Consider the following 24,881-nt stretch of genomic DNA (forward strand, 5'->3'; position numbering starts at 1 on the left):
ATAGAAAGTTGATGATAGCATATTATTTAACTAGCATGTTGCACAGGAAGCTCTGATTATTCTAGCTTTTAGTATCCCCATTTATAAACACTCAAATATACCCTTGAGGAAGAAAACCAAGGACTCAGGTGAGTAGACACCTCATATCTATTCATTCTTTCTTTTATTCATTTTTTATAAAAATACACTGTGAGCTCCTAGTTTATACCAAGTACTGCTCTAGGTGCTGCAGATAAAGTGGAGATCAAAGCTCTTGTGCAACATACATTCTGGATGGGGGTGAGATGTAATGAGTGAAATGAACTAGCAATAGAACTTCTTGCAGTGGTAATTCACATGAAGAAAACTAAAACATGGTGTTGTGAAGAGTGGAGATACACTGCTAGGAACAACTTCCTTGAGGTGGTGACATCTGGACTGGGACTGGAAGGAAAAGAAGGAGCCAGCAGACGAGAGAAGATGAAACAGAGGAGTGGCCAGTGCAAAGGCTGTGAGGTGGGACGCAGAAGAGAGAAAATACTCAGTTCCAGGTGGGACACAGAGGAGGGAAAATACTTGGTTCCAAAGAACCATGAAAGGGTCAATGTGGGTAGAACTATGCAAGGGAAAGAAATGGAACATGCAAATACACACATAACAATTCAACTGGGAAAGATAACAGAAAAGAGTTAGGAAAATCTATTGTAGCTCTGAAAAGACCTCTGGGTCATCTGACTTCTTATGCTATATGAACCAAGCCTGGTTCCATAAAAGTGAACTAAGGCACAGGCACAGAAGGTAACTGAGGAAATGAACTGAGGAAGGAAGGTGCCGATTAGAAATAGAGACTAAGTCAGTTAGGAAGGCCTTTGTCTGAAAGTAACAAAATGCCTATTGTATTAGTCAGGGTTCTCCAGCGGGACAGAACTAATTGGATAGATGTATATATAAAGAGGAGTTTATTAAGGAGTATTGACTCACACGATCACAAAGTGAAGTGCCACAATAGGCCATCTGCAAGTTGAGGAGCAAGGAAGCCAGGCTGAGTCCCAAAACCTCTGAAGTAGGGAAGCCGACAGTGCAGCCTCCAGTCTGTGGTGAAAGGTCTGAGTCCAAAAGCTGAAGAGCTTGGAGTCTGATGTTTGAGGGCAGGAAGCATCCAGCACAGGAGAAAGATGTAGGCCAGAAGACTAAGCCAGTCTGGTCTTTCCACGTTCTTCTGCCTGCTTTATATTCTGGCTGTGCTGGCAGCTGATTAGCTGGTACCCACGCAGATTGAGGGTGGGTTGTGCCTCTCCTAGTCCAACTGACTCAAATGTTAATCTTCTTTGGCAACACCCTCACAGACAAACCCAGGAACAATACTTTGTATCCTTTAGTCCTGTCAAGTTGGCACTCAATATTAACCATCACACTCATCTAGCTGCTCAAGCAGTAAGACATTTAATATCTCAGGAGAGCAGTCTGGAGGTAGGTGGCTCCGGGCTTGGTGCAGGGACTCAGTGAAGTTATCAAGGACCCAGTCTCTCTTCCTACTTTCTTTGCATCTCCTCCCCAGTGCTCCCTTCTGACAGCAAGTGAAACTTCTCAGAGTGCTCCTGCATGTCTGATTGGCCAGAATTGGGTCATGTGGACACTCCAAGCTGCAAGGGAGGCTGGGAAAAAGAGCATCTGGAAAGGAGGCATGGGATCACTAACACTGATTTGGACTAATCAAGAGTCAAGGTGTCATCCTCTGCAGATGCAATCAACATGGAGAGCCGTGGAACAGGGGATGGAGGGAAGGGTGGGCCACAGAAACACAGGGCCCATGTTGGGGACAAGAGGGAAGAAAAGCGAATGCACTGTAATTGATTCAGAAGACACGGGTTACTATCCCAGCCCTCATCAAATCACTCAAACAATCTTCACCATGGTTCTTCATCCATACGACGGAAGTGACAACACCTATCTTATCTCTCAAGCAGGCTGTGAAGAGCACAAATTGCCAGAGTGAATTATGAGTGCCTAATGTCTGCCCACGACTCCACAAGGATGCAGTACAAAAGTATTGTAGCTTCTATTTCTATTTATTTTTCTCATTCTTTTAAAATATATACAGTTGTGCATATAATATACATAATGCATTACAACAATAGACTATATATATCTTATAAATACATACATGTGTATATGTTGGAAATGCTCAAAAAATTTACTGGTAAGGGTCCAGATTTTATTTGTATGCTTGGAAACACTTTCTTAAAAACATAACACATATAAAGGACTTAGCACAGGACTAGGAGCGTTTGGGTCCTCAGCAAAGGCTGTCTCCATCTCCCTTTCAGATGCATTAGTGTTGCCATTTTTAATGGCAAGGGTCGGCATCTGCCACAGTCCTTCCCAACTCCATTCTCAGAATGCTGCGTATTATGTGCTCTTTTGGCACCTCAAATCCCTCTCCCAGAAAACAGGATTACAGGCGCTGCATCCTACAAGCAGTTCCCGGGAGCTATTATCACATCGCTACCACAACCCCCAGCATCTTCTCCTCTTTCCACCTGCTGTTCATCTTCCGTATGTGTCTTGGCTGGTGGGAACTTCTGTGAAGGGGTGAACAAGAGCAAGGAGAGGAGGAGAAGCAAAGCCAGCCAGAGAGGTGACCCGCCAGCTCATGAGGTGAAAGTCCCCTCAGGAAAGGGAGAGTTAAAACTCAAGGTCTGGGCATTCTCTGTGCAATTCATTTCTCCCTGGGAACCCTGCCTCCCATTAGCATGGACAAATGAGAATTGCCCATATCTACATTCCATCTGCCCTCATCTTCCTTTGCAGCTACTCAAAGCACTTTAGAAAGAGCCTCTCTTTCTTCCTCCCAGCATCACCTCTGCGGTGGACAAGAGACAAAGATGGGAGTGCGGTGCAGGGAGAGAAACAGAGTCATGAGGTCACTTAGCGGCTCAGCTAGAATGCACCCAGGAGTCCTGACACCCGATCAAAATCACTCTTCTCATTAAAAGGACAAAGATAAAACCTCCTTCATAAATCTGAGGCCCGTCTGCATTATCCTCAGCCATCAGTTATGCTTGCTGTGGGCCATTGTTCATTTATTTAATTTAACCTTTTTTTTTTTTTCTGAAAAGCTTTTGGGTTTGCCTTTAAAAACCCACATTAAATTCTCGTTTAACGATTTGACGGGGTCCCCTTTAGCTCCCTTTAAACGAGCTGCCGATAAAGGAATAAACTTGCTGAAGAAATAAGAAATAAGCCTCCAGAATGCTGTAGCCCTTTCATGCTGTGGCTGTCCAGGCTGAAGCCCCTCTCAAATGAATAGAGATAATGCTAATGGAATTACACATTGTGACTAGATCAGGGGCTGCCACAGAAAGATAAATACCAAAGCAAGGCTAAGGCAGTTAATCAAAAATAAACCCCTACGTGCCTTTTTTTTTCCAGAAGCAAAAAAAATTTAAAAAAAAAAACCCGAAGACCTTGTTTTGCCACATGCATTTCTTCATTCACCTTGATGTTATTTTTCCAAATAATTTGGTTTAGAGGAGGTCCCCCACACACATATACATTTCAAAGCAAATTAAATTAGTTAAGAGTGATCTACCCAACCTATGTTTACAGTGACACAAATGACAGGGTGGCAAGCCTCTCACAAGATAAACCAGAGGTGGACTAATTCGTGAGGATGATATAGCGCTTATCTGTTTTGTTTAGGCTCAGTTTTAACAAGATAAAATCGCTGGGCCTGGTGTTCTGCCAGTGGGGAAGCTGTTTACCCACACAATTGACGCGCAGCGTGGGCTGTTGTGGAATCTAAATTAGCTCCTCTCCCTGCCTACCCCAGCTCCAAGCTGGTTGGGTTAGTCACACCCTCAGAGAACAGGTCTCAGGTCTCACTTAGGAAAAAAAAAAATCCACATAATGGTCATTTGTCATCTTTAGGGTCTCATGATTTGTCCTGGCTCATCCTAAAATCAAGATGAATTTTGTGACACCACCCCAGGTAAGCAGTGACACCCTGGGTGTGTCCATCATGGAAATGGATGCCATCTGCCTCTCCTAGGCAAAGATGGAACTTACTAAAAGGACATCAGGGACTCGCAAAAGTGAGAAGGCAGGGAGTCCAGGAGGATGGCTCAGGAGAAGGCCCCATGAGGCCACCCTACAGGACAGGTGGGTGCAGGCGTGGCTGCAGCACTGGGGCCCAAATGTGGCCTCCACGTCGTGCCATCACTCATTCCAGGGACCAAGTCACAGGCAGCAGGTCTCACTGGCTCAGCCTAAGGCGTATATCCACATGGGCTCCCTGAAGACAGGAGAAAGAGGGTCTGCCCTTTCAGTCCCCAGAGAGGGAAACAAGTGCTGCCTGCCATGGAAGGGCCATACAATAGGGGATTTCCCAAATGGGAGACCAGGCACTCACAAAAAGAGGTTGAATGAAGGCACCCCAAAACTGGCAAGCGGTTCCTATGCTAGGGCTGAGAAAAGTGTGCCTGGGCATCCTTGTTCAGCCCGAGCATCAGGTGGGAAGCAGTTTGCAGTGATGAAGGGAGCTCCGGGTGGTGAACCAAGAGACCCAGACCCAGGCATGGGGCCATGACCAGGCAAGGCTACCTGAGCTAAGGCAAGTCTATGCCTCTCTACTCACTGTTGTGGGTTGAATTGTGTCCCCCGCAAAAATCATATGTGAAAGTGGTCACCACCAATATCTCAGAATGTAACCTTTTGGGAATTAGGGACATTGTAGATGTAATTCGTTAAGATGAGGTCATACTGGAGGAGCATGGGAGCCTAATCCAACATGACCGGTGTCTTTATAAAAAGGGGAAATTTGGACACAGACACCCGTACATGGAGAATACCATGTTCTCCATATGGAGTTATTCTGTCTCAAGCCAAGGAACTACCAGAAGCTAAGAGAAAGGCTTGAAACAACCTCCCCTGGTGCCTTCAGTGGGAGCACGACCCTGCAGACACCCTGATCTCAGACTTCCAGCCTCCAGAACTGTGAAACAGTAGATTTCTGCTAAGCCACTCGGTTTGTGATACTTCATTATGGCAATCCTAGGAAACTAATGGGCTCGTTTTCTATAAGGTGAGCAAGTTGGACTTGATTTGCAGCTTTCAAACTGTTTGAGTCTTGACTTCCACTTGAACTTCCATTTGAAGTCCCGCAACTTCGTGGCAGCACACTTTGAAAACCATGGTGTGATCTCCAAGGTCCCTCCAGCTCTCACTCTCTAAATTAAAGCCCTTTTCAGTTTTGACAAAGAACGGTTCCAAATTTAGGGAAGGCTGTATGGGGGGACATTTTCTTCTCCAGCTGCGTGGATAGGCTGATCCCTTGATGGGACCCTGCTGGACTCCATCCCACGTAATTCCAGTCTGCTTCTTCAGGCACTGAGCCCTGGGAGAAGGTGGCTACTTCATGTGGGAGCTAGAAAGTATGGAGATTTCTGGGTCTAGTCCAGTGGTGTTTCCATTCAGACATAGATAGATAGGTAGATAGATAGATAGATAGATAGATAGATAGATAGATAGATAGATAGATAGATAATTGATAGATAATAGATAGATAGATAGATAGATAGATAGATAGATAGATAGATAGACAGACAGACAGACAGACAGACAGATAGATAGAGAGCTTTGCTAGGCTTAGATCCTGTTAGATCCTAGAGACTCGGTCCCACTCTAGACTCTAGTCACCATCTCAAGTTCCACAGTGAACCCAACCACTTGAAAGATTCTGTGACCTACCACTTCCCCATCTTCCCACAGAGACCTCCAGCACCCAGCAGTGATGTCCAATGCCTCACAGAACAATAAACACCACTTTGAGATGTATATGATGCCCTTGTTGTCTATCTTTAAACAGAGAAAGAAGGAGCATGGTATCCCCAATATTGGAGGGGCACCAGGCATCATGGCAGACTCGATTACACAGGTATCAGAAGCCTCTGCATGGGATGATGCCTCATGGAGACTGGCTGCCTGACTATTCATCCGTCTCCCATGCTAAATTGGGAGATCCAGGAGAATAAGGAATTCTGTGCGCATAAGTTTTAAATCCCCAGATACGGGTGGATCACCAATGAGTGCTCCAGAGGGAAGACCTGAATAATTACCTTGTTCTTAAAACCCATATTATTTTAAAATCTGGAAAAGGGGTACTTTCACAACACCCAGGCACTAAGTCACAACAGAGGAAAACTTGTCCAGATACACTGGCCCAACCTGATTCTCGTTCAGTCAGTACATTGGTGACCCACATGTAGAGGAAGATCAGATAGAAGTTACAAAGAAGCTGCCATTCTTTCTTCCCCCAAGTATTGTGACAAAGTTGCTTCAAATGTATATAAACTGTTTAAGATTAATAAAATGAACACTAGGTGCCCTCCACCTATACCCAATAATTGTTATCATCTTGTCACATTTGTAGACATCATGAAATTTCACTTCTGGACCCTTCAGCAAACCTCTTTTGAGAACGAAACATTATCCTACATACCTTCAATACCATTATTGTGCATAATAAAATTAATAATATTCCATTATATTATCTAACATCAAGTCCCTACTCAATTTTTCCATCATCTTAAGAAATATATTTTATAGGGTTTTTTTACAATTACCAAGATCCAATCAAAATTCACACATTGTATTTGGTTGTAGTGTCTGTTGACTCTCTTTTAATCCAGTACAGTCCTCCAACTTTTTTCTTTCATGACACTGACTTTTTGATGAACCCAAGCTGATAGTTTTGTAAGTGTTGTATATTCTTGATTTGTATGATTGCTTGTTTCTGGTGTTGACTGACTTGTCCCTCTATCCCCTAGAAATGGCTGCCATCTTGACCTACTAAACACTCTGAGTGTGGGCTGAGATTAAGAGAGAAGCAGGGCTGGATGTTCCTGTTCCAAGATCTTCCAGGCCTCTCTCTCCATTGAGTGAGGTCCACACCAGCACCTCCACTATGACAGAGCCACTGAATGCCTGGTCCTGCCAAGCCACAGCCCCAGGACGCTGGAGAACAGTGCTGGCCCTTTCTGGACTCTGCTGCCTTTGAAACTATAGTGAGCACAGCTGGAAACACACATACAATGCCACAAAAGATTATGAAGATTTAAAGGTTTCTCAGTGATTTATGTCTTTTTAATTAATGGCTTTTATGCTTTAATTAAAAAGTTACGGAAGTTGTCTTTACTTCTGAAAAATGCATTTATGGTTGACTGCTTGCATGAATTAAATAGCATCAGACCCCTAGGTTGGCTCCATGCTAGAGTCCTAGAGCTCATTTTAGGGGTAGGAAGAAGGAGGTCAGGGAGAAATACCATTAAGAAGGAAGGCTGTGACAACTTTCATTACTTTTTGATGATCATGCAATAATTTCCCATGATAAATCATCTCATTACATCTACAAACTTGGAAACAGAATCTAAATGCCATGGTCCTGAAAAAAAAAAAAACAGCATGGAACCTGGTTTTAAAATGATTCACCTCCTCACTGAAGAAGCAGAATAAAAGTTTATATTTTATTACTAATTGATTGGTTCTTAGGTCACACTAACTACATTGGGAGTACGATTGTGCAGAGCTTTGATTTGGGCTTCCATGCATAGTCTGCTAAAGTCAGCAGCCACTTCTGGACCTAGATGTGACCCCAGACTGGCTGATTGCCTGAGTCACCAGCCCGGTGCTATGGGCTTTGCTCAGGATCAAGGTGCCTTCCTCAATTCCCTCTGCAGAATTATCATGCCTTTCCTTGCATTCCCATTGAATTCATTTTGATAATTCACTTTGAATTTTTCCCTATCATTCTCTGAATTACATTATTTCTGTTCATGCCGGTCTCCCCCAATAGTTTGTTGTCTTCTCTATAAGGCCACTTCTCATTTCCCCAGTCCCCACTCAGATAGAAGTCACTACATCATCATTTGTGTCACTATTCTATCACAAGCAGAATTGTTCCAAAATATCTCAATAATTCCAACCTATTTTTTAAATGAAATATGTCTATGTCCTTTTACTAAATTGTAAGACCTAGTGGCCATATTTAATCATCTCTTTTTTTCTTTTCTATTTGACTAGGCTTTAGGCCAGAGAATTGAGTCAACCATATTCCTAGTTCATGACACATTCAATCATGCATCGTCTCTCTCCTTTTATTCATTCATTCATTCATTCATTCATTCATTCATGTATTTATTTATTCCCTTTATTTCCCTTTCCCAATCCTGTTACCTTGACCACTGACTACAAATCTGTTAAGGTTAATGAGGGTCTTTTGTTTGTATGCATTCTTGTAAAATATGTGTATATTTCATGCATATAGAATTTTAATTTACATACATATATAATGTCATATGCTTCATTCTGTTCCTTACTCTTTTCACTCAATATTAAGTTCTAAGAATCCATCCATGTTGCGCTCTCTCTCTCTCTCTCTCTATATATATATATACATCCAATCTGTAATTTTTAACTTCTCAATAGCACTCCATCGTATGCTTCTACCACATTTTACATTTGTTACTGCCTGTTGATAGGCACCCAGATTGCACCTGGGTGCAATCCCGTTAGGGACCTATGGAATATATACTCAGGAGTGGAATTTCTGTGTCATATGGTTAACAAATATGTGTGACTAACTTGTGCTATGTTGCCCTTCAGAATGTCTACGACAAAATATATATTCTTTTTTTTTGTATTTTTTTGAGATGGAGTCTTGCTCTGTCGCCCAGGCTGGAGTACAGTGGTGTGATCTCAACTCACTGCAACCTCGGCTTCCCGGATTCAAGAGATTGTTCTGCCTTGGCCTCCCCAGTAGCTGGGACTACAGGTGCTCACCACCATGCCTGGCTAATTTTTGTATTTTCAGTAGAGACAGGGGGTTTCATTATGTTGGCCAGGCTGGTCTCAAACTCCTGAACTCATGATTCGCCAGCCTCGGCCTCTCAAAGTGCTGGGATTACAGGCGTGAGCCACTGCGCCTGGCCAAAATATATATTCTTATTGGCATGAGATTTTCCATATTCCTGCAGCCTCAACAAACATTATTCAACCTCCACATTTTTGTCAGTCTACTACATTAAAGTAACATTTTAATTTGCATTTTAAAGAGATTTGGATTATTTCTGCATATACTTGTTAGTTGTTAAGGTTTCCTCTTTTATAAGTTACCTATTCATAACCTTTCCCTGTATTTCATTTGGAGTTCTCATCGTTTGCTTGTTGATTTGCAAGAATTTCCTGTGAATTCTAAATAACAGTGCTCTGTCAGTTTTAGACACAGTAAACTATCTTCTCCCAATTGTCATCAGCTCATTCACTGTCCATGGTATCCTTCATCTAATAGAAATCCTGAATTTTGATATGATTATGGTAAATAAAATACTTTTCTCCTTATATTTTGTGCTTTTAAAATTCCGTTTAAGAAGTTATCCTTTATTCTAGGTCTCAAAGGAAATCTTCTTTTAACCTTATAGTTTAGTCCTTCCTACTTAGGCCTTTAATCCGTCTCTAGGTCACCTTTATATGTGGCATTAGGTAGGGAACTAGTGTAATGGTTATCTGTATGGTAAGTAAATTTAGCCAAATCTGTTAATTAAATAGTTCATCTTTCCCTCATTAATTCATAATTCATCTTAACTGTATATTTGCTCCCTATACTGACTCTGTTCCATTGATTTTTTTGGCTGTTCTTGCCTGACCACCCCAGTTTTTGCTACCACGTGTTTCTAATATGTCTTAAAGTCTGGAAGGGTAGGTCCCCCTACTCACTCCTCCTATGATCTTTGCTTTGTTGGTGGGTTTTTATCCTTCTATGTAAATTTCAGAGTAGATGCATTGAGCTCTGTAAATCAACTGGAATTTTGATTCAAAGGTGCAACACACATATTGGTTAATTGGAGACTAATTGATATCTTTAAAATATTAAAAATCTATATTTGAGCATAGCATGTGTCTCCATTTACTCAGATCAACTTCTATGTACTTTATTACATATTAACTTTTTCTCTGGAAGGACCTCAGGTGTTCTTAAATTAATTCCTGGTTAGTTCTTATTACTAATGAGAATAACACTCTATTTTTAAATATTTTATATTTTGTTATTGTTGTAGAAAAATGCCATTTTGTTTTAGGTAGATCTGATACCCAGAAATCTTTCATTTATTCTAGTAGTTTGTCTTGTGTTTTCTAGGTAAGTGATCATATCATTTGCAAACAATAACACTTTGATCTCTTCCTTTCCAGCATTTAGACTTCTCCCCCTTTTTTTTTTCTTTTTTTATAGTCAAACACAGCTATATTGTCTTTCAATAGCACTGATAACGGCCGTCTTATTCTATTCTCAGTCTTAAGGTAAATACGTCCAAATTTTTTTCAATAAAGATAATGTTTACTTTTTCTTTTTTGGTGTATTTTTACCAGTTTAAGGAATTTCCATAGTTCCTAATTTGCTAAGAGTTTTGTCATAAACAGCTGTTGAACTTTATCATGTATTTCTTCATCAATTGAGATAATTGTATGAATATTGCCTTTTGGCCTATTAATACGATAAGTTATGTTAATAGATTTTTCTTTTGTTAAACCATCCTTGCTCACTTGGAATAAATCCTACTTGATAATGATGTGTTTGAATACATTGTTTAATTTGGTTAGCTAATATTTTAATTAGGATTTTTGTACTTATCATAAGTGAAATATGCCTATAGTTTTCTTTTCTTACATTGCTCTTACCTCATTTTGAAATAAAAACTATACTAACTTCAACTTTTATTCCTTCTCTTTTCTTGAAAATAATATGTAAAAGGTAGGATTTCATTGTTCTTTGTAAGTTTGATAGAATGAACCTTAAAACTATCTGGGCTTAGAGTTTGGGGAGATAAGATGTCTTTGGTTATCACTTCAATTTCTTTAATATTTTTGGTCTAATTATGATCTTTATTTTATTTTATCATTTTATTTTGGGACAGGGTCTTACTCTGTCACCCCAGCTGGAGTGCAGTGGTGTGAGCACGGCTCACTGCTGCCTCAATCTCTTGGGCTCAAGCAATCCCCCACCTCAGCCTCCCAAGTAGCTAGGAACACACGTGTGTGCCACTATGCCCAGCCAATTATTTTTTATTTTTTGTAGAGACAAGATCTTACCATGTTGCCCAAGCTGGCTTTAAACTTCTGGGCTCAAGGGATCCCTGGATCCCCTGGCCTCAGCCTCCCAAAGTGCTGGGATTACAGGCATGAACCATGGCACCCTGCCTCTCATTTTTTCCTTGTACCAATTTTGACTTTTTGTATTTTCTAAAAATGTATCCATTACATCTAGCCTATAATTATTCATAACACTCTTATTATTTTACTTCCTGATTTGTCTATAGTTCTTTAAATTTCATATTTTATTATTTGTATCTTCTCTCTTTTATCTTGATTAGTGTCTTCAGAAGTCTATTTTACCAATAATATGAAAAAATTCACTTTTGGTTATATTAATCTTTACTATTATTTTTCTTTTGTTGTTAGTTGTATTGATTTCTGCCCTTATATTTATTATTTCATGTATTCTTGTTTCTTTGGTTTAATCCCATACTTCTGTTTTGACTTTCTATCTCCAGAGCTTAGCATATACTTAGTACACAGAAACTTTTTTCTATCAAATATTTATTGAATAAATGAATTGTAAACACCTTGAGATCAGATAATATGTTTTGTCAATCTTCATAGTCCTCAAAATACCTACTATACCACTTAGCACATGGGAGGGTTCAGTAAATATTGAGGGAATTTTTCCTGAAGGAATATTTAATGTAAAAAAATACATATCTATTTAAAGAAACCTCCAGAGGTCATATAATTGAGCCTTCTGAGTCAAAAGAAAAAAAAAAACAGTAAACATTTCTGATAGTGTGGTAGAGCCCGTGAGAGATTCCCCCCATTGTTTTCTTCTTCCTTAGTGACAGAACCCCTAATTCTAGCTAGGCACACAACCATCTGAAATAAAGACAAAGTGATTACCTTCTGGTCAATGGGATACAAGTGAAAATGGTGGGTACAACTTAAGAAAGTATAAAGGGAAAAGATGTGTCTTTTTTCCTCCCCTTTCTTAGTCTTGCTTTCTTGAATCTGCATCTCATGGTTAGGGTTCCAGTAGTTAAAATGGATAAGGAGGTGACCTTGGGAATGGAAGTCTTACATGACAGAAGAACAAGATAAAGTGCCTGGGTTCCTTGTACCCGGAAGCTTTCATGGTAGCCCAAGATGATAGCTTTTGAACTTCTTTATGAAAGAACTCCTCTGTTGTTTAAGGCACAGTTTGGGGTCTTTTTCTGTGGTGGCAAGAGGGAGGTTTCTGTCACATGTAGCTGAACATATTAAATGATTAGAATAGAGGGAATAGATTAGTAATTGATTCAGTTGGTACTTGTTGATCCTTTTCTGAAAGATGTCCTTGCACACACAACAAAGATCTAAGAAAGAAGTTGATGTTAAATCCCCATTTCACACATGAGAAAAGCAATGTGGGAGCTGAGACTATGATTTATCTCTCATTCTTACTCAGATCTCAATTTGCTGGACAAGTTTGCCTTTTCTAAATCAATGAGGCCCAGTCCCAAAGGTTTTTACCATAGAAGAATCTAGGTTTACTCATGTAAACACTGAATAATTTTCAGTTCTAGTGACTGCCTGGGCAAAATCCAAGTAAGCCTCAAATTTTTCAGACTCTGGTATGATTTTTCTCAGGTTTGACTCTCTAGGTAGCGAGGTAATTAGACTCCCTGTTCTTTTCAAGGTCAAAGACCACTGGACAAAAATATGAGAACTTTGTCCACCCTTTGTGGCTAATGAGCTTGACTCTCAAAGGGCTATTTCACCTCCTTCATGAGTTGTCATTTGGAGTCCACTCTCTCAGTCATGGCTTTGCAGGGAGGTTTGGAGCTCAGTCCAGAGCAAGCTCCCCAGATGACAGCTACATGCTCTATAACCTATACGACCAAGAGACCATGTTGCCTCTGTCTACCAGCTCCTTTATGGCCCCGTGGTCTCCTTGTTGTTATGGGGAGTTTCTCAGAGTGTTCTGCTCAAAATCAACTTCAAAATCACCTGATTTACATTAAAAAATATTTGCTTTTGTGACCAGGAGAAAAGTTTGCACTCAAGACCCAAACAAGCTTCCCAGTCTTTCTTTCCAAGCCCCAACCCTGATCCTCACACACAAGGAAGGTTTGAGCTTGCAGAAAAGACATTTACCCAGCCACCAAAATAGTTACCAGGGATGACAAGGACCTGCCTCCCATCTTAGCGAGGGAAGAGAGTACAAGAGGGATCAGAGACATGAGAATCAGCCATTGATACAGATCTGCACTGTGAAGAGACACAGACATGGTGAGAAGGTCGTCAGACTCTCATTGTCTCACCTTTCAATGGATTCTTCTCTACCCGTGGAAGAGTCACTGAGAAGTGGAAAGATCTCTCTAATGCCATCGGGAAGTGTTAGTACAATTCTATGAACCAGAAGAAACATGGAAAAAGAAAGAGAACTTCTCCCCCACCATAACCAAAACTTTCCATTAAGTATGCCCTATCAACCACTTACAACCCATCAATCAATTAAAAAATGAAAGAAATACCAAAAGTACCCAGAAAAGAGCTGTTAGCCTGCAAATAAAAGCATTTAAAAGTTTCCCTATTTTCCTTCCTTTCCATAGTATGTTTCTATTCTTCTCATAGCCAGTTTGCTGGTTTCAATTTTCCTTGAAGAAGCTCCCACACTAATGAGATTGGTTGTTTAAATGTCTCCAAGAAGCAACATAGACTGCTGGGATCTGTATTCTCTTTATTGAAAAAAAAATATCAAATGGACTGCAGAGATTAAGGTGGAATTAATTCCACCCCGGGAAGAGAGGAGCCGAGCTGCTTCAGTCTCTTGGTTTATAAGGTCACCAGAATCCCTTGTCAGGAACTATTCCTCCGTAAATCACTTCTGCCCAGCTACTCGGCAGCCCTGAGTTGCAGATAATCCAGACAGTGATTGTGTCTGGTCTCTAAGCAAAAGATTCATTGACCTCCCCTAAGAGGATTCTGGTACCAGCTTTGCCTGCAGGAAGAAGTGGACGAGCCCAGCCTCTAATATGCACCAGCTTTTTTGACCACCTGCTGGCCAGGATTCAGTCTCACAGGTAAACATCTTGAGTAGAGAAGCCACTGCTGAAAGTACAGATTCTGCTATGGGAGGGGGCCTGCATTCCCCAGGAGCCAGCTCATACAGCATGCAAAAGGGCAGGGCCAACCTTAGGACTTGGGAGTCAGATATTGGACTTCAACCAAGTATATTAGACTCCCAGCTGTGAGGACCGGTGTATATTTATATTTCTTCCTTGAGTATGGTTTTGAATTTTAAAAACTGTATCACACTGATGAGTGCATATTTAGCTACCAATTAATTCTGGCCTTGAGCAAATCACTTAATTTGGGGCGGGGTCCTTTGTTTCAAATAGATCTAAATTAAAACCTTGCATCCACTATGTATTGATGGTGCCTTATTGGGAAAGTTAATGCATGTTTTGCAAGGTTGTGGTGAGGATTTAAACGATAACATGCCTAAAGTGCCTAGCAGACTATCCAATTGGGTTATTTGCCCAGCTGTGCCCACCACTGTCCACACCCCTCTTCTGTGAAGTTCCTTGTGTTGCAAGGGTGGGTGCTAAGGTACCTGACTCCACTACCCCTCTGTGTTCTGGCGGGGGGCACCTAACACAAGCCAGGCCAATATGCATGCCTTTCCCCAAGATTCTGCACTGGATGAGTGCTGAGAGAAATCAGTCTCTCTCTGGATAGTGGCCCATGAACTCCCACTAGCTCAGGAGCTGATGGGGACCCTGTGCTCTGCCAACCAGCCTGGAACAATGGGAGGAGCTAGTCTTCAGATGAAGAGAGAGAAGAGGAACATAGATATACGGACAGGAAACAGGAGACAGGGTAGATATCATTCAAGGCTCTGCTTCTAATTCATCTCTGCCCCTGGGTTCCATGAAACTCATACCCTTGCATCCTCAAAATAAGGTTCTCTGTCTCGTGAAAAGTAGCTTGTGCTGGTTTCGTTACATGAAATAGAAAAGAGTCTTAATAATCTGGTAAACAGTTGTTTTTCAATAAACAGTAAACATCAACTTATGTAATATAAGAGAATTGGCCAAGAGATGCCACAGGTTCTCCTGCCCCACCCCACCCCTGCCCAGCCAACTATCTGACTTGATATAATTACTTACTGGGACATCTTCCCTATCTATATATCCTACAACTACTTTGAACTAAACTTATCATTATTCAATAACTCATTCATTTGATAAGCCATTTCTCTGTACAGATGCAGGGACCGTGACATACCTCTATTCCCATGTGCAGATGGTGACATCTCTCAGTCCTGTCCCCTAGATATGACTCCGCTTGCACCGGACTCTGACCCTAGCCACAGCCTCTCCCTGGGACTCAACCCTCCTGGTCCTGCACTTCCCTCTTGTCCCAGCCCTTGATGGCTCTTCCTTTGTTGACTCCAGTCCTAGCAGTGCACACCAGCCCAGGCTCAGCATCAACCTAAAAAGCAGTGCTTTTAAAAGGCAAGTGTCCTCAGCACTCACAATAAAATTAACAAATGTGCAGGCCCCATGCTGAGCACTCTGCAGGAATCATCTCATTTAATTCTCACAACTTACGAGATTGGCACTGTTCTTATCCACATTTTATTGATGAAGAGAATGGAGCATGGGGAAGATAAGTCATTTTATTCAAGGTCACACAGTTAGGAAACGGCAGAGCTAAGATCCAAATCCATGCGGCGGTGTGCCAAGGCCATGCACTTTGCCTCGTAGCCCCGGTAGATGAGACCCTTTGGACTAGGCATTGCTTTTGTTATTTACTGTACTGATGAGGCTATGTCTGAGAAACAGCTGTAAGAATTTAGAGAGGGGATCCAGTGATAGAGTCAACAGATCTTTGTCCCCAGGATTTGGGGACAAGGCAGAACTAGACTTTGGTCCTGGAGAACAGGTGGGTGACATGATAAGTGGTGGAAAGGTCAAGGGCTTGGAAGCATGATGGTGCTTGGGGGGCCTGTTAGGAAGTGGGTAGGTGGCATTGGTAGATTTGGGCCAATTCTGGGGACACAGAAAGCCAGGCAGAGTTGGAACTTGGTTTGGTTATTATTAATAGGTTAAATTGTGTCACCACCACCCCCACCCCTCACATGCACAAAAAAATGTTAAGTCCTCAGCCCTAGTACTTGTGAATGTAATCTTATTTGGAAATGAGGCTTTGCAGATGTAATCAAATTGAGCAGAGATCAGACTGGATCAGGGTGAACCCTAATCCAATATGGTTAGTGTTCTTATACAAAGAGGGAAATTTGGACACAGAGAGACCCACAGGAAGAACATCATGTGAAAATAGAGGCAGAGACTGGAGCCATGCAGATGCAGGTCAAGAAACACCAAAGGCCGGCTGTGGTTCCAGCACTTTGGGAGGCTGAGGCAGGTGGATCACTTGAGGCCAGGAGTTCGAGACAAGCCTGGCCAACATGGTGAAACCCCGCCTCTACTAAAAATACAAAAATCAGCTGAGCACAATGGCACACGCCTGTAACCTCAGCTACAAGGGAGGCTGAGGCACGAGAATCGCTTGAACCTGGGAGGCGGAGGTTGCAGTGAGCCGAGATCATGCCATTGCACTCCAGCCTAGGCGACACAGCAAGACTCTGTCTCAAATAAAAGAAAAGAAGCACGGAGAATTGACAGCCACCACCAGAGGCCAGGAAGAGGTAAGGAAGGATTCTCCTGAGAGTTCCATAGGGAGCATGGCCCTGCAGTCACCTTGATTTTAGAATTCCAGCCTTCAGAGCTGTGAGAGAATAAATTTCTGTTGTTTTAAGCCACCTAGGTTGTGGTACTTTGTTATGTCAGCCCCAGGAAAATAGTAGTCATCATCAGAAAAACCTAGTTCCTTGAGCAGGTTAGGGTAACAAAAGGGAAACCAACCAAGGTCACTGGGTCACCTTTGAAGTGTGTAAGCACACGTTCTATACATTCTCATGCCACTCAGTTCAGCTGTATGCAGTTTTCTGCATTCACCTAGTGTTTCTCGTAGGCTAAATCGCACATAAGTAAATGTGAAATCTGTGTTATGCTCAAATCATTCCCTAATCCATCAATTGCATTGGAACAGATTTGCATTTCCAAAACAAGCATTATAGCAGAACTAACTGAACCACCAAACTCACACAGAGAGTTAGCAATGGGGCTGGGCACAGTTTTACACGTAACTCTCTAGATTCACAGGGCCACCCCTGACTTTAAGCCTGAGAAAAATTAGGGAGGAGGGAGCACCTGATATATGGCAAAAAATTTCATTCATCAGAAAGCAGCTCGAGCTCTCATATATTTAGAATTCTCTGCCTTCAACTTCAGTAGAAGCAAATCACGGGAAACAAGCTGATATCTGGAATTTAGCCAAACAAAATCAGGAATGCATCCCAAAGTGAGATTCACACAGTCCCCTGAGCCTTCCACACCTATGGTCAAGCATAATAAAAACTGGCATTTTTGGAATGGGGTTTCTGAATCATGATCCTGGATGCTTTCTAAATCACCAAATCAAAAGTAGATAATGTTCAACATTCAAACATCTGAGGAAGGAAAATGAACAGAAGCCTTTGAAAAAGTTTAACGAGACTAACCAAAACAAAGATTTTCAATAATCCACAGTTAACCAAAAAACCCGCACCCAGAGCATTCCAGTTCCCAGAGGCTGACCTACACATACACCCAAGAGACATGCCTTCTGAGCGTGGTTTCAAATTCTAGAGAAATTGCCAATATGGCTCAAGTTGTCTAAGGAAAAGCAGCCTCTCTCCTTCCTTCCACCTTCTCCCCCTCCTGCCTCACTGCTCACCAACCCTGGATCTCCTTTTGCGTCCCTGAGAGCAGACAGGGCCTCTGGCACCTAGCTAGGAGCAGCCCAGAGCACAACAAAAGAGCAGCTGCAAATCCATACTGAGCAGATGAGAAATCAAGGAAAAACTTTATAGATTGAGAGATGGATAGTTCTGAAACGTAATAACAAGGCTAAAGGGATTGGAGTTTTATCTACCTTTGACAGAAGCACCTTAATGGGGCCCCTTATGAGGGGCTATGAGAGCAATGATCACTGTGTAAAGAAGATGTTCTCTGAGCCTGTGCCTTTTTGCAGCCTAGAAGTGCCAATCAAATCACTTTCCTCACGTTAATTAATTAGGCCTCTTGCATTCCCCAAGGAAATTCAGAACAGAAGCATTATGTTCTGGAAAGAGGAAAGTGAGCAGCATCACATCATCATTATCACCATCACCACCATCATCATCATCATCACTATCACCATCACTGCCATCATCATCATCCATATCACCATCACCACCATCACTCCCATCATCCTCATCACTATCACCATCAACACCATCACCACCATCATCCTTATCACTATCACCATCACCACCATCACCGCCATCATCCTCATCACTATCACCATCACCACCATCACTGCCATCATCCTCATCTCTATCACCATCACTGCCATCATCCTCATCACTATCACCATCAACACCATCACTGCCATCATCCTCATCACTATCACCATCACCACCATCACCACCATCATCCTCATCACTATCACCATCACCACCATCACTGCCATCATCATCATCACTATCACCATCACCACCATCACCGCCATCATTCTCATCACTATCACCATCACCACCATGGCCACCATGATCATCATCACTATCACCATCACCATCATCCTCATTATTCCATGGGGATAATGAGACCCCATGCTGAGAGCTGTAAGAAGCCAGCTGGGCACACACTCTCCAGGCAGAAGTGTGCAGTAAAAGGCAGAATGAATAGTTCATTCATTTATTCACCAACATATTAATTCTATGCTTGTTGGGACCGTACTCTGTATTAGCATGAGGGCTACAGGTAGAATGAATAACACAGAGTCACTGCACTCGAGGAACACTCAGTCCAATGGCAAAGGAGAAGTACACTGCAAGCATTACAGTGAAAGTGCTCTCAGAGAAAGCTGGCCCAAGATTCTAACTGCCCAAGAAAGTCATAAGGCATTCACCCTTTGCCCTCTGACACTTACCCTGTGGCCAATTCATCACCAAGTTTGCCCAGTCTCTCCTCTCATGGAGACTTCAATCCGTTCCTTCTGCCACTGCTTCCATTCAACCCCTCCCAGCATCCCCCACCCCCGCACTCCTGCGACAGCCTAAAAACTTGTCTCCCTGCCTCCACTCTTGCCTCTCGTGGTCCATTCTCCCTGGTGCAGCCAGATGGATCTTCCCAAAACTGCAACCCTCAGGGATTACTCACTCCACTGACTAAAAACTCTCCTTGTCTCAAGGACCACATTCAAACTCAGAAAAGGCCCTTCAGGGTCAGATGCAGTCCTGCTCTGCCGTGCCCAGGTGGGACTGACACTGGTCACCCTGTGGTGCTCACTCTGTCTGGGACAGCCAGGAACTGCCACCCCTGAGGCCTTGCTCACATGTTGTTTCTCTACCTGGGGGGCCCTTCCTACCCTGTCACTACCTGCTGAAATGCCCCTCATCCCTAAAGGCCCAGCTCAGTGTCCACATGAGTGACATGCCACAGCCCCCTCCGTCCCATTCCCAGTGGGATTCATCACACCTTGATTATAGCATTTTACACGTTTTGTCATAATTACATTTCTGTATCTCCCTTCCCTCCCAGATTTGCAATTCTTTGAGTGCAGAGCCAGTCTCCTCAATGTCAGAGCAGTGCCTGACATTGAGTAGGGCCACTCAGTAATAGATGGTGGAAAGAGTGGTCAGCGACAAACTGTTTCCAAAATGTGTCCATGGCTGCTTGGAAGTATGTGAGTTGCTCCATCATGTGGTTGTAAGTCCTGCAGAGTAAAAGCCTCATCCTTCTTTCACATATGGCTAACCACAAGAGCATGTGGTTTGTGGGCAATGTCCTGGAGTGATGGGGAATTTGCCCTGGACCAGCCTTCCCCTTAGTCCCTTCCACCACCCTTCTTGTGGCTATCGTCATATGTAGGTGATGACTGAATGGGGGTTGGTGGCCATTACCAATGAGCTATCACTGCAGATGGCCAACTACAACCTGCTCATTTACTTTTATTTACTGAATTAGACTAATAGATATTATTATCCTCACTTTATAGGTGAATAAACAGCCTCTCTGGTGTTAAGTTGCCCAAGACCACACAGCTAGTAAGTACCAGAGCTAAGATTTGAACCTCTGGCTGTCTGACTCCCAGGCCTAAGTTCTTCCCGCTACACTGGGCTGCCCCCCATTGGCAGTGGGAGGGGGAAGCCTGTGGGCTGTAGAGCAGTAGCTGGGACAACATTGACTCTGCGTCCTGTAGGGCCAACACTCCATGAGCACTGGCTTTTATTTACCTTATATGGTGAAAAGAGAGATGCCCATTTTTTCCCATTTCTCCAGACTCTAACAGATGGGTGCTAATTTGGTAAGTGCAAATTATCTGGCTTCAGTTCTATCCACCATCTGCCTGCTTGAACTAGTGAAACCAGGGTGAGTTGTAATTATGCCCAGCTCTCTTCACAAGGTCCTTCCCTTCCTTTAGATGAGTTTATCCTCTTCCTATTTTAAGAAAGAGCTTCACATAGCAGGGCATTTATGGAACACTTCCAAGAACCCGAGCAGAGAGTGAAATAATGAAGGCAAAGCAATCATGCAGACAAAACCCTTACACAAGATGGCAGGAGCCCCAGCCTGGCCCTGCTCCTCCTGGGGAATTTCTGGGAAGATGGGAAACTAGTCACTACAATCCCTGGGCCTCAATTTCTCCACCAGAGCACTGGCAGTAGGAGCCTCTGAGACTGGGAAGTGGAGCTATGCTGTGTGCAAAGGGACTGCTCTGCTATTGCTGCTGCTGCACTGGCAGGCATTTGGAGGGCATCCCTAAGCTTCTCATCCTCGTCCTCTGAAGGAAGCTCTTCAGTCCCCTCTCAAAGGTTCTTCCTAGTCCCCCCATCCCTGCTAAAAATAAAAGGCTGAATTTCATCTTATTCAGACCATAGCTAGAATACAGGTGCTTAAAGCTCCCTCTCTCTCTGCTGTCTGCAGCAACCTGCCCTAACATTCAGCCTCTACAATGTCTTCAAGACTAAAACGTGCATGCATGGGAAGAGGGTCATCAGGCTAAGGGAAGCCATTTACCCAACCCAAAGTGCATCATTTAAACCCCAGATGTCATTCATTCTTATCTGAAGGAATCCTTTCCATTCATTTGCCTAAGGCTCCTCTTCTCCTCCCAGTTTCTGCCTCCTGGAGAGAGCATCTTAGGAGATAACCACCCATATAGCACAGCGAAGGATTCCACCTTGAGTGCCATGATACTGCCTCTTGGAGGAGCAGAGGTTTGCCACTTGTAATGTGGATGAGCAGGAGGGTGTCTGGCCCGTGGAGCAGTTCCTTGTCTGTCCCCACAAGGAAGGGAAGCTTCTCTGTGTGCCCAGGCACCCCCATATCTCTTCTCCTCCAGTCACTGGTCTCCCCAACCCCAATCACACAGTCACCCCCTTTCCCCATCTCTGAGACTGGCAAGTGAGCCAGTCCCCCCGGCCAGCAGCCAAGTGAATTTTTAAAAGTCTCTCTTTGACAAACTAAGAGGGAGAGTTGGCTGTTTCATTTGGTGGTTTTCTTTAGCAACACTGAAATGTCTAACATCTAAATGTGTGGTGTTTGCGAACTTAAATATGTCGCCTCTGGACCTGCCATTCCTTAAGAAACATCTGCTCCCCAGAAGATCAGAAGTGAGAAACTGCAAAGTTGCATTACTTATCTTTCCCTAAAGAAATGAAAGGTGTTTTTCTCCCCCTCAAAGTAACAGCTCTTTCTCCACTCCACATCAAAACTCCAGCCTTTGGCAAACATATCTTAACGCTTCCAAATCCACGCTCCGACACAGAACTTCAGACTTCAAAAGTGACAGCAGTGGGGCCAAGCCCGGTGCACACTTCTCAGTACCCAACTCCTTCACAACTTCTGAACGTCTCCAAGAAAGATCAGAGGGCAGCAAGGCTACTGTGCTGTGCCCACGTCATAACGTGCACCCAAAGGTGGGGGAATTTATTAAACAACCTGGGGCATGATCCTGGAAGATGGGCTACACACAAATCTCCCCATAGGTAGAGTCTGGCCTAGAATTTGAAAACTGTATCTAAGGCTGACAATTTAGCAAGGGAGACCAGTACCAAAAGAGGAGTCCAGATACCTGTAGTGAGAGAGAACCAGTAGAAAGGGCCCTGGACCTTCAGCCTTCTCTGTGACCTTGATGCTCTCAGCTAAAAAGAGATGCAGCTGCATATTATGAGCAACTAAAGTAACAGAAGTTTTAACAGGCAGGGCACATTCTTTCCCCTAAAAAAGGCTGGAAGGAGGGAAAGAGTCCAGGGGCTCCATGAAATCACTGGAGACCAAGGCTGCTGACTTTGTGTTCTGCCATCTTCAAGGTCACCTTAAGGCTGCTTCACAGCTTCCATTCTCAAGGTCATCAGTAGGTCAAGATTGCTGTTTTGAGCTCCTGCTATTACACCATCTTCTAGGGATCAGGAAATCAGAAAAACAAGGCAAAATGTCCCCTTGACAGCAATGCATGCCAAGTCAACTCCATTTTAGCAAACTTCCCAAAGGATAGCACATGTCCGCTTACATCTCAGTGGCCAGGACTTAGTCACATGGCCACACCTAACTGCAGAGGACACTGGGAAATAGCACCTGTTAGCTACATGCATTGTGTGACCTCGAAAAAAATTGGGCTTCTTTTACTAAGAATGGAAGGAACAACAGATGTGATGTAGCACCTGGCAGTCTCTGTCACAGATTCAACTTTCTACCTGTCAAAAGAATGTGTTCATCCTGGCCAGGCGCGGTGGCTCATGACTGTAATCCCAGCACTTTGGGAGACTGAGGTGGGCAGATCACTTGAGGTCAGGAGTTCAAGACCAGCCTGGCCAACATGGTGAAACCTCCATCTCTACTGAAAAAATACAAAAAGCAGCTAGGCGTGGTGGTGCACAACTGTAATCCCACCTACTTGGGAAGCTGAGGCAGGAGAATCACTTGAACTCAGGAGGCAGAGGTTGCAGTGAGAGGAGATTGCACCACTGTACTCCAGCCTGGGCAACAGAAAGAGTCTCCATCTCAAAAAAAAAAAAAAAAAAAAAGTCCTCATCCTGACTCTTTCTCCCTCTCAGCACTACTGACATTTTGTGCAAATAATTCTTTATTGGGTGCAGGGAGGGCCTGTCCTGTGTATTGTTAGATATTTTGCAGCACCCCTGAGCAGTTGTGACAACCCAAACTGTCTCTAGGCATCGCCCAATGTCTCATGGAAGACAAAATCAACCATGGGTGAGAACCACTGATTTCTATCAAAAGGGCATCAAAATGAGATTATACACATGATCTTCGTAAGAATATATATACATTTACTACATTACACAGTCACCTAGATGTAACACTATGAGAAAAAAAAAACGGACTTAATCTTTATGCTTTGTTGAAAAGATGTTAAGAGACCAGTGTAGTCCTTGACGCTTCTGAAGTTCCAAAGAGTAAACTCGGAAGACAGAGAGGAAACTGACCTACTAGCGATTCCTCTCACGCACACAAAGGTTGGACTGCAGAGAAAATGCCCTTTGGTCTCATGCAGCTTTCCTCCTCCCTCCCTGGGCTTAGCACACCTTGCACTTTTCCAACTCGGGATCTTCTCGCATCACATTCTCAGCCTGGGCCTCCTCTCCTCTGCTCTGTACATAGCTGCCTCCTCACGCCACCAGCTTCTACTAAAAGGTCACTGCCACCAATTGACCATGAATCTGAATAAAGCCACCCTCCCCCCCGACATCTCCTCTGAATCCTCCATATCACAGTTCATAATTCCATGTGAATCTATTTACTTTTTAATTATCACTGTCCCCATTAGATTTTGGCTTCTGTGAAGGCAGGGGCCATGTCTCTTTATTCACTGCTGTTCACCCATATTCCACCAGCACCTGGCACAGGAAAGTGCCATTAAGTATCTGGTGGCTGAGTGGATATGGCAATGGGGGTGAGACAGTGTGCTCCTGTGGTGTGTCAGTGAGTGGGCGACGGGGTGATGGAGAAAACTGGAACACAGACCAGGACAAACGCAAAGTAGCATGTGTGATATTCTTGCACAGACTTAATATTTCCAAGTCAGTTATACGCATTTGTTGGCTATCTATACCTGAAATAAAAAAATAAACAAAACACGGCCACAAGGACCTACAGTATAACACAGAAGATAAAATATATTTTAATAATTACATGTAAAGTCTGCTAGGAGTGTATTTTTAAATCCAGGAAAAAAAAGTAAAAGAAAAAAATGTTCCACAGTTCTGAAGGTGGGCAGGTTACTTCTGCCTGTGGGCGTGGGGCTTCAAAGGGCAACATTGGAAGGAGGTTTTGCAGGATGCATAGGAGTTGCATAGGTGGAAGATGGGGAGACCTTCTGGAGGGAGGAACAGCTTGAGTAAAGGCAGTAAGTGAGAAAGCCCAGGACTTTGCTGAGAATGTGCTTTCACCCAGTGCTATCCTGTAGAAATGTAATGTGAGTCACATTTTTCTAGTAGCCACATTAGAGAAGTAAAAACGGGTAAAATTAACTTTTTAAAATTACATTTTATTTATTTAACCCAATATTAATATTCAATATTTTGGATATCCAAAATGTTATTCCAACAGATCAACAATATAAACGATTATTGAGGTATTTTACACTCTTTTTTTCAGAACGCTAAAAATCCAATGTGTGATTGACACACTGCACATCTCAATTCA

At 43.0% G+C, this 24,881-nt stretch overlaps 1 protein-coding gene across 1 annotated transcript in view, besides 1 other annotated feature; it reads right to left on the reverse strand.

The window, feature by feature from the left end:
- Positions 1 to 24,881, reverse strand: part of PLXNA4 (plexin A4) — a 525,349-nt gene that overhangs the window by 466,103 nt on the left and 34,365 nt on the right. The window lies entirely within an intron of this gene.
- Positions 5,074 to 5,274: a silencer, noted in NCBI's record as "peak6731 fragment used in MPRA reporter construct". NCBI's record gives its function as "represses an SCP1 promoter by STARR-seq MPRAs in K562 erythroleukemia cells {active_cell/tissue: K562}" and the evidence as "EXISTENCE:reporter gene assay evidence [ECO:0000049][PMID:32103011]".

The sequence above is a fragment of the Homo sapiens genome, chromosome 7 (assembly GCF_000001405.40).
Source record: "Homo sapiens chromosome 7, GRCh38.p14 Primary Assembly".
NCBI classification, from domain to species: Eukaryota; Metazoa; Chordata; class Mammalia; order Primates; family Hominidae; genus Homo; species Homo sapiens.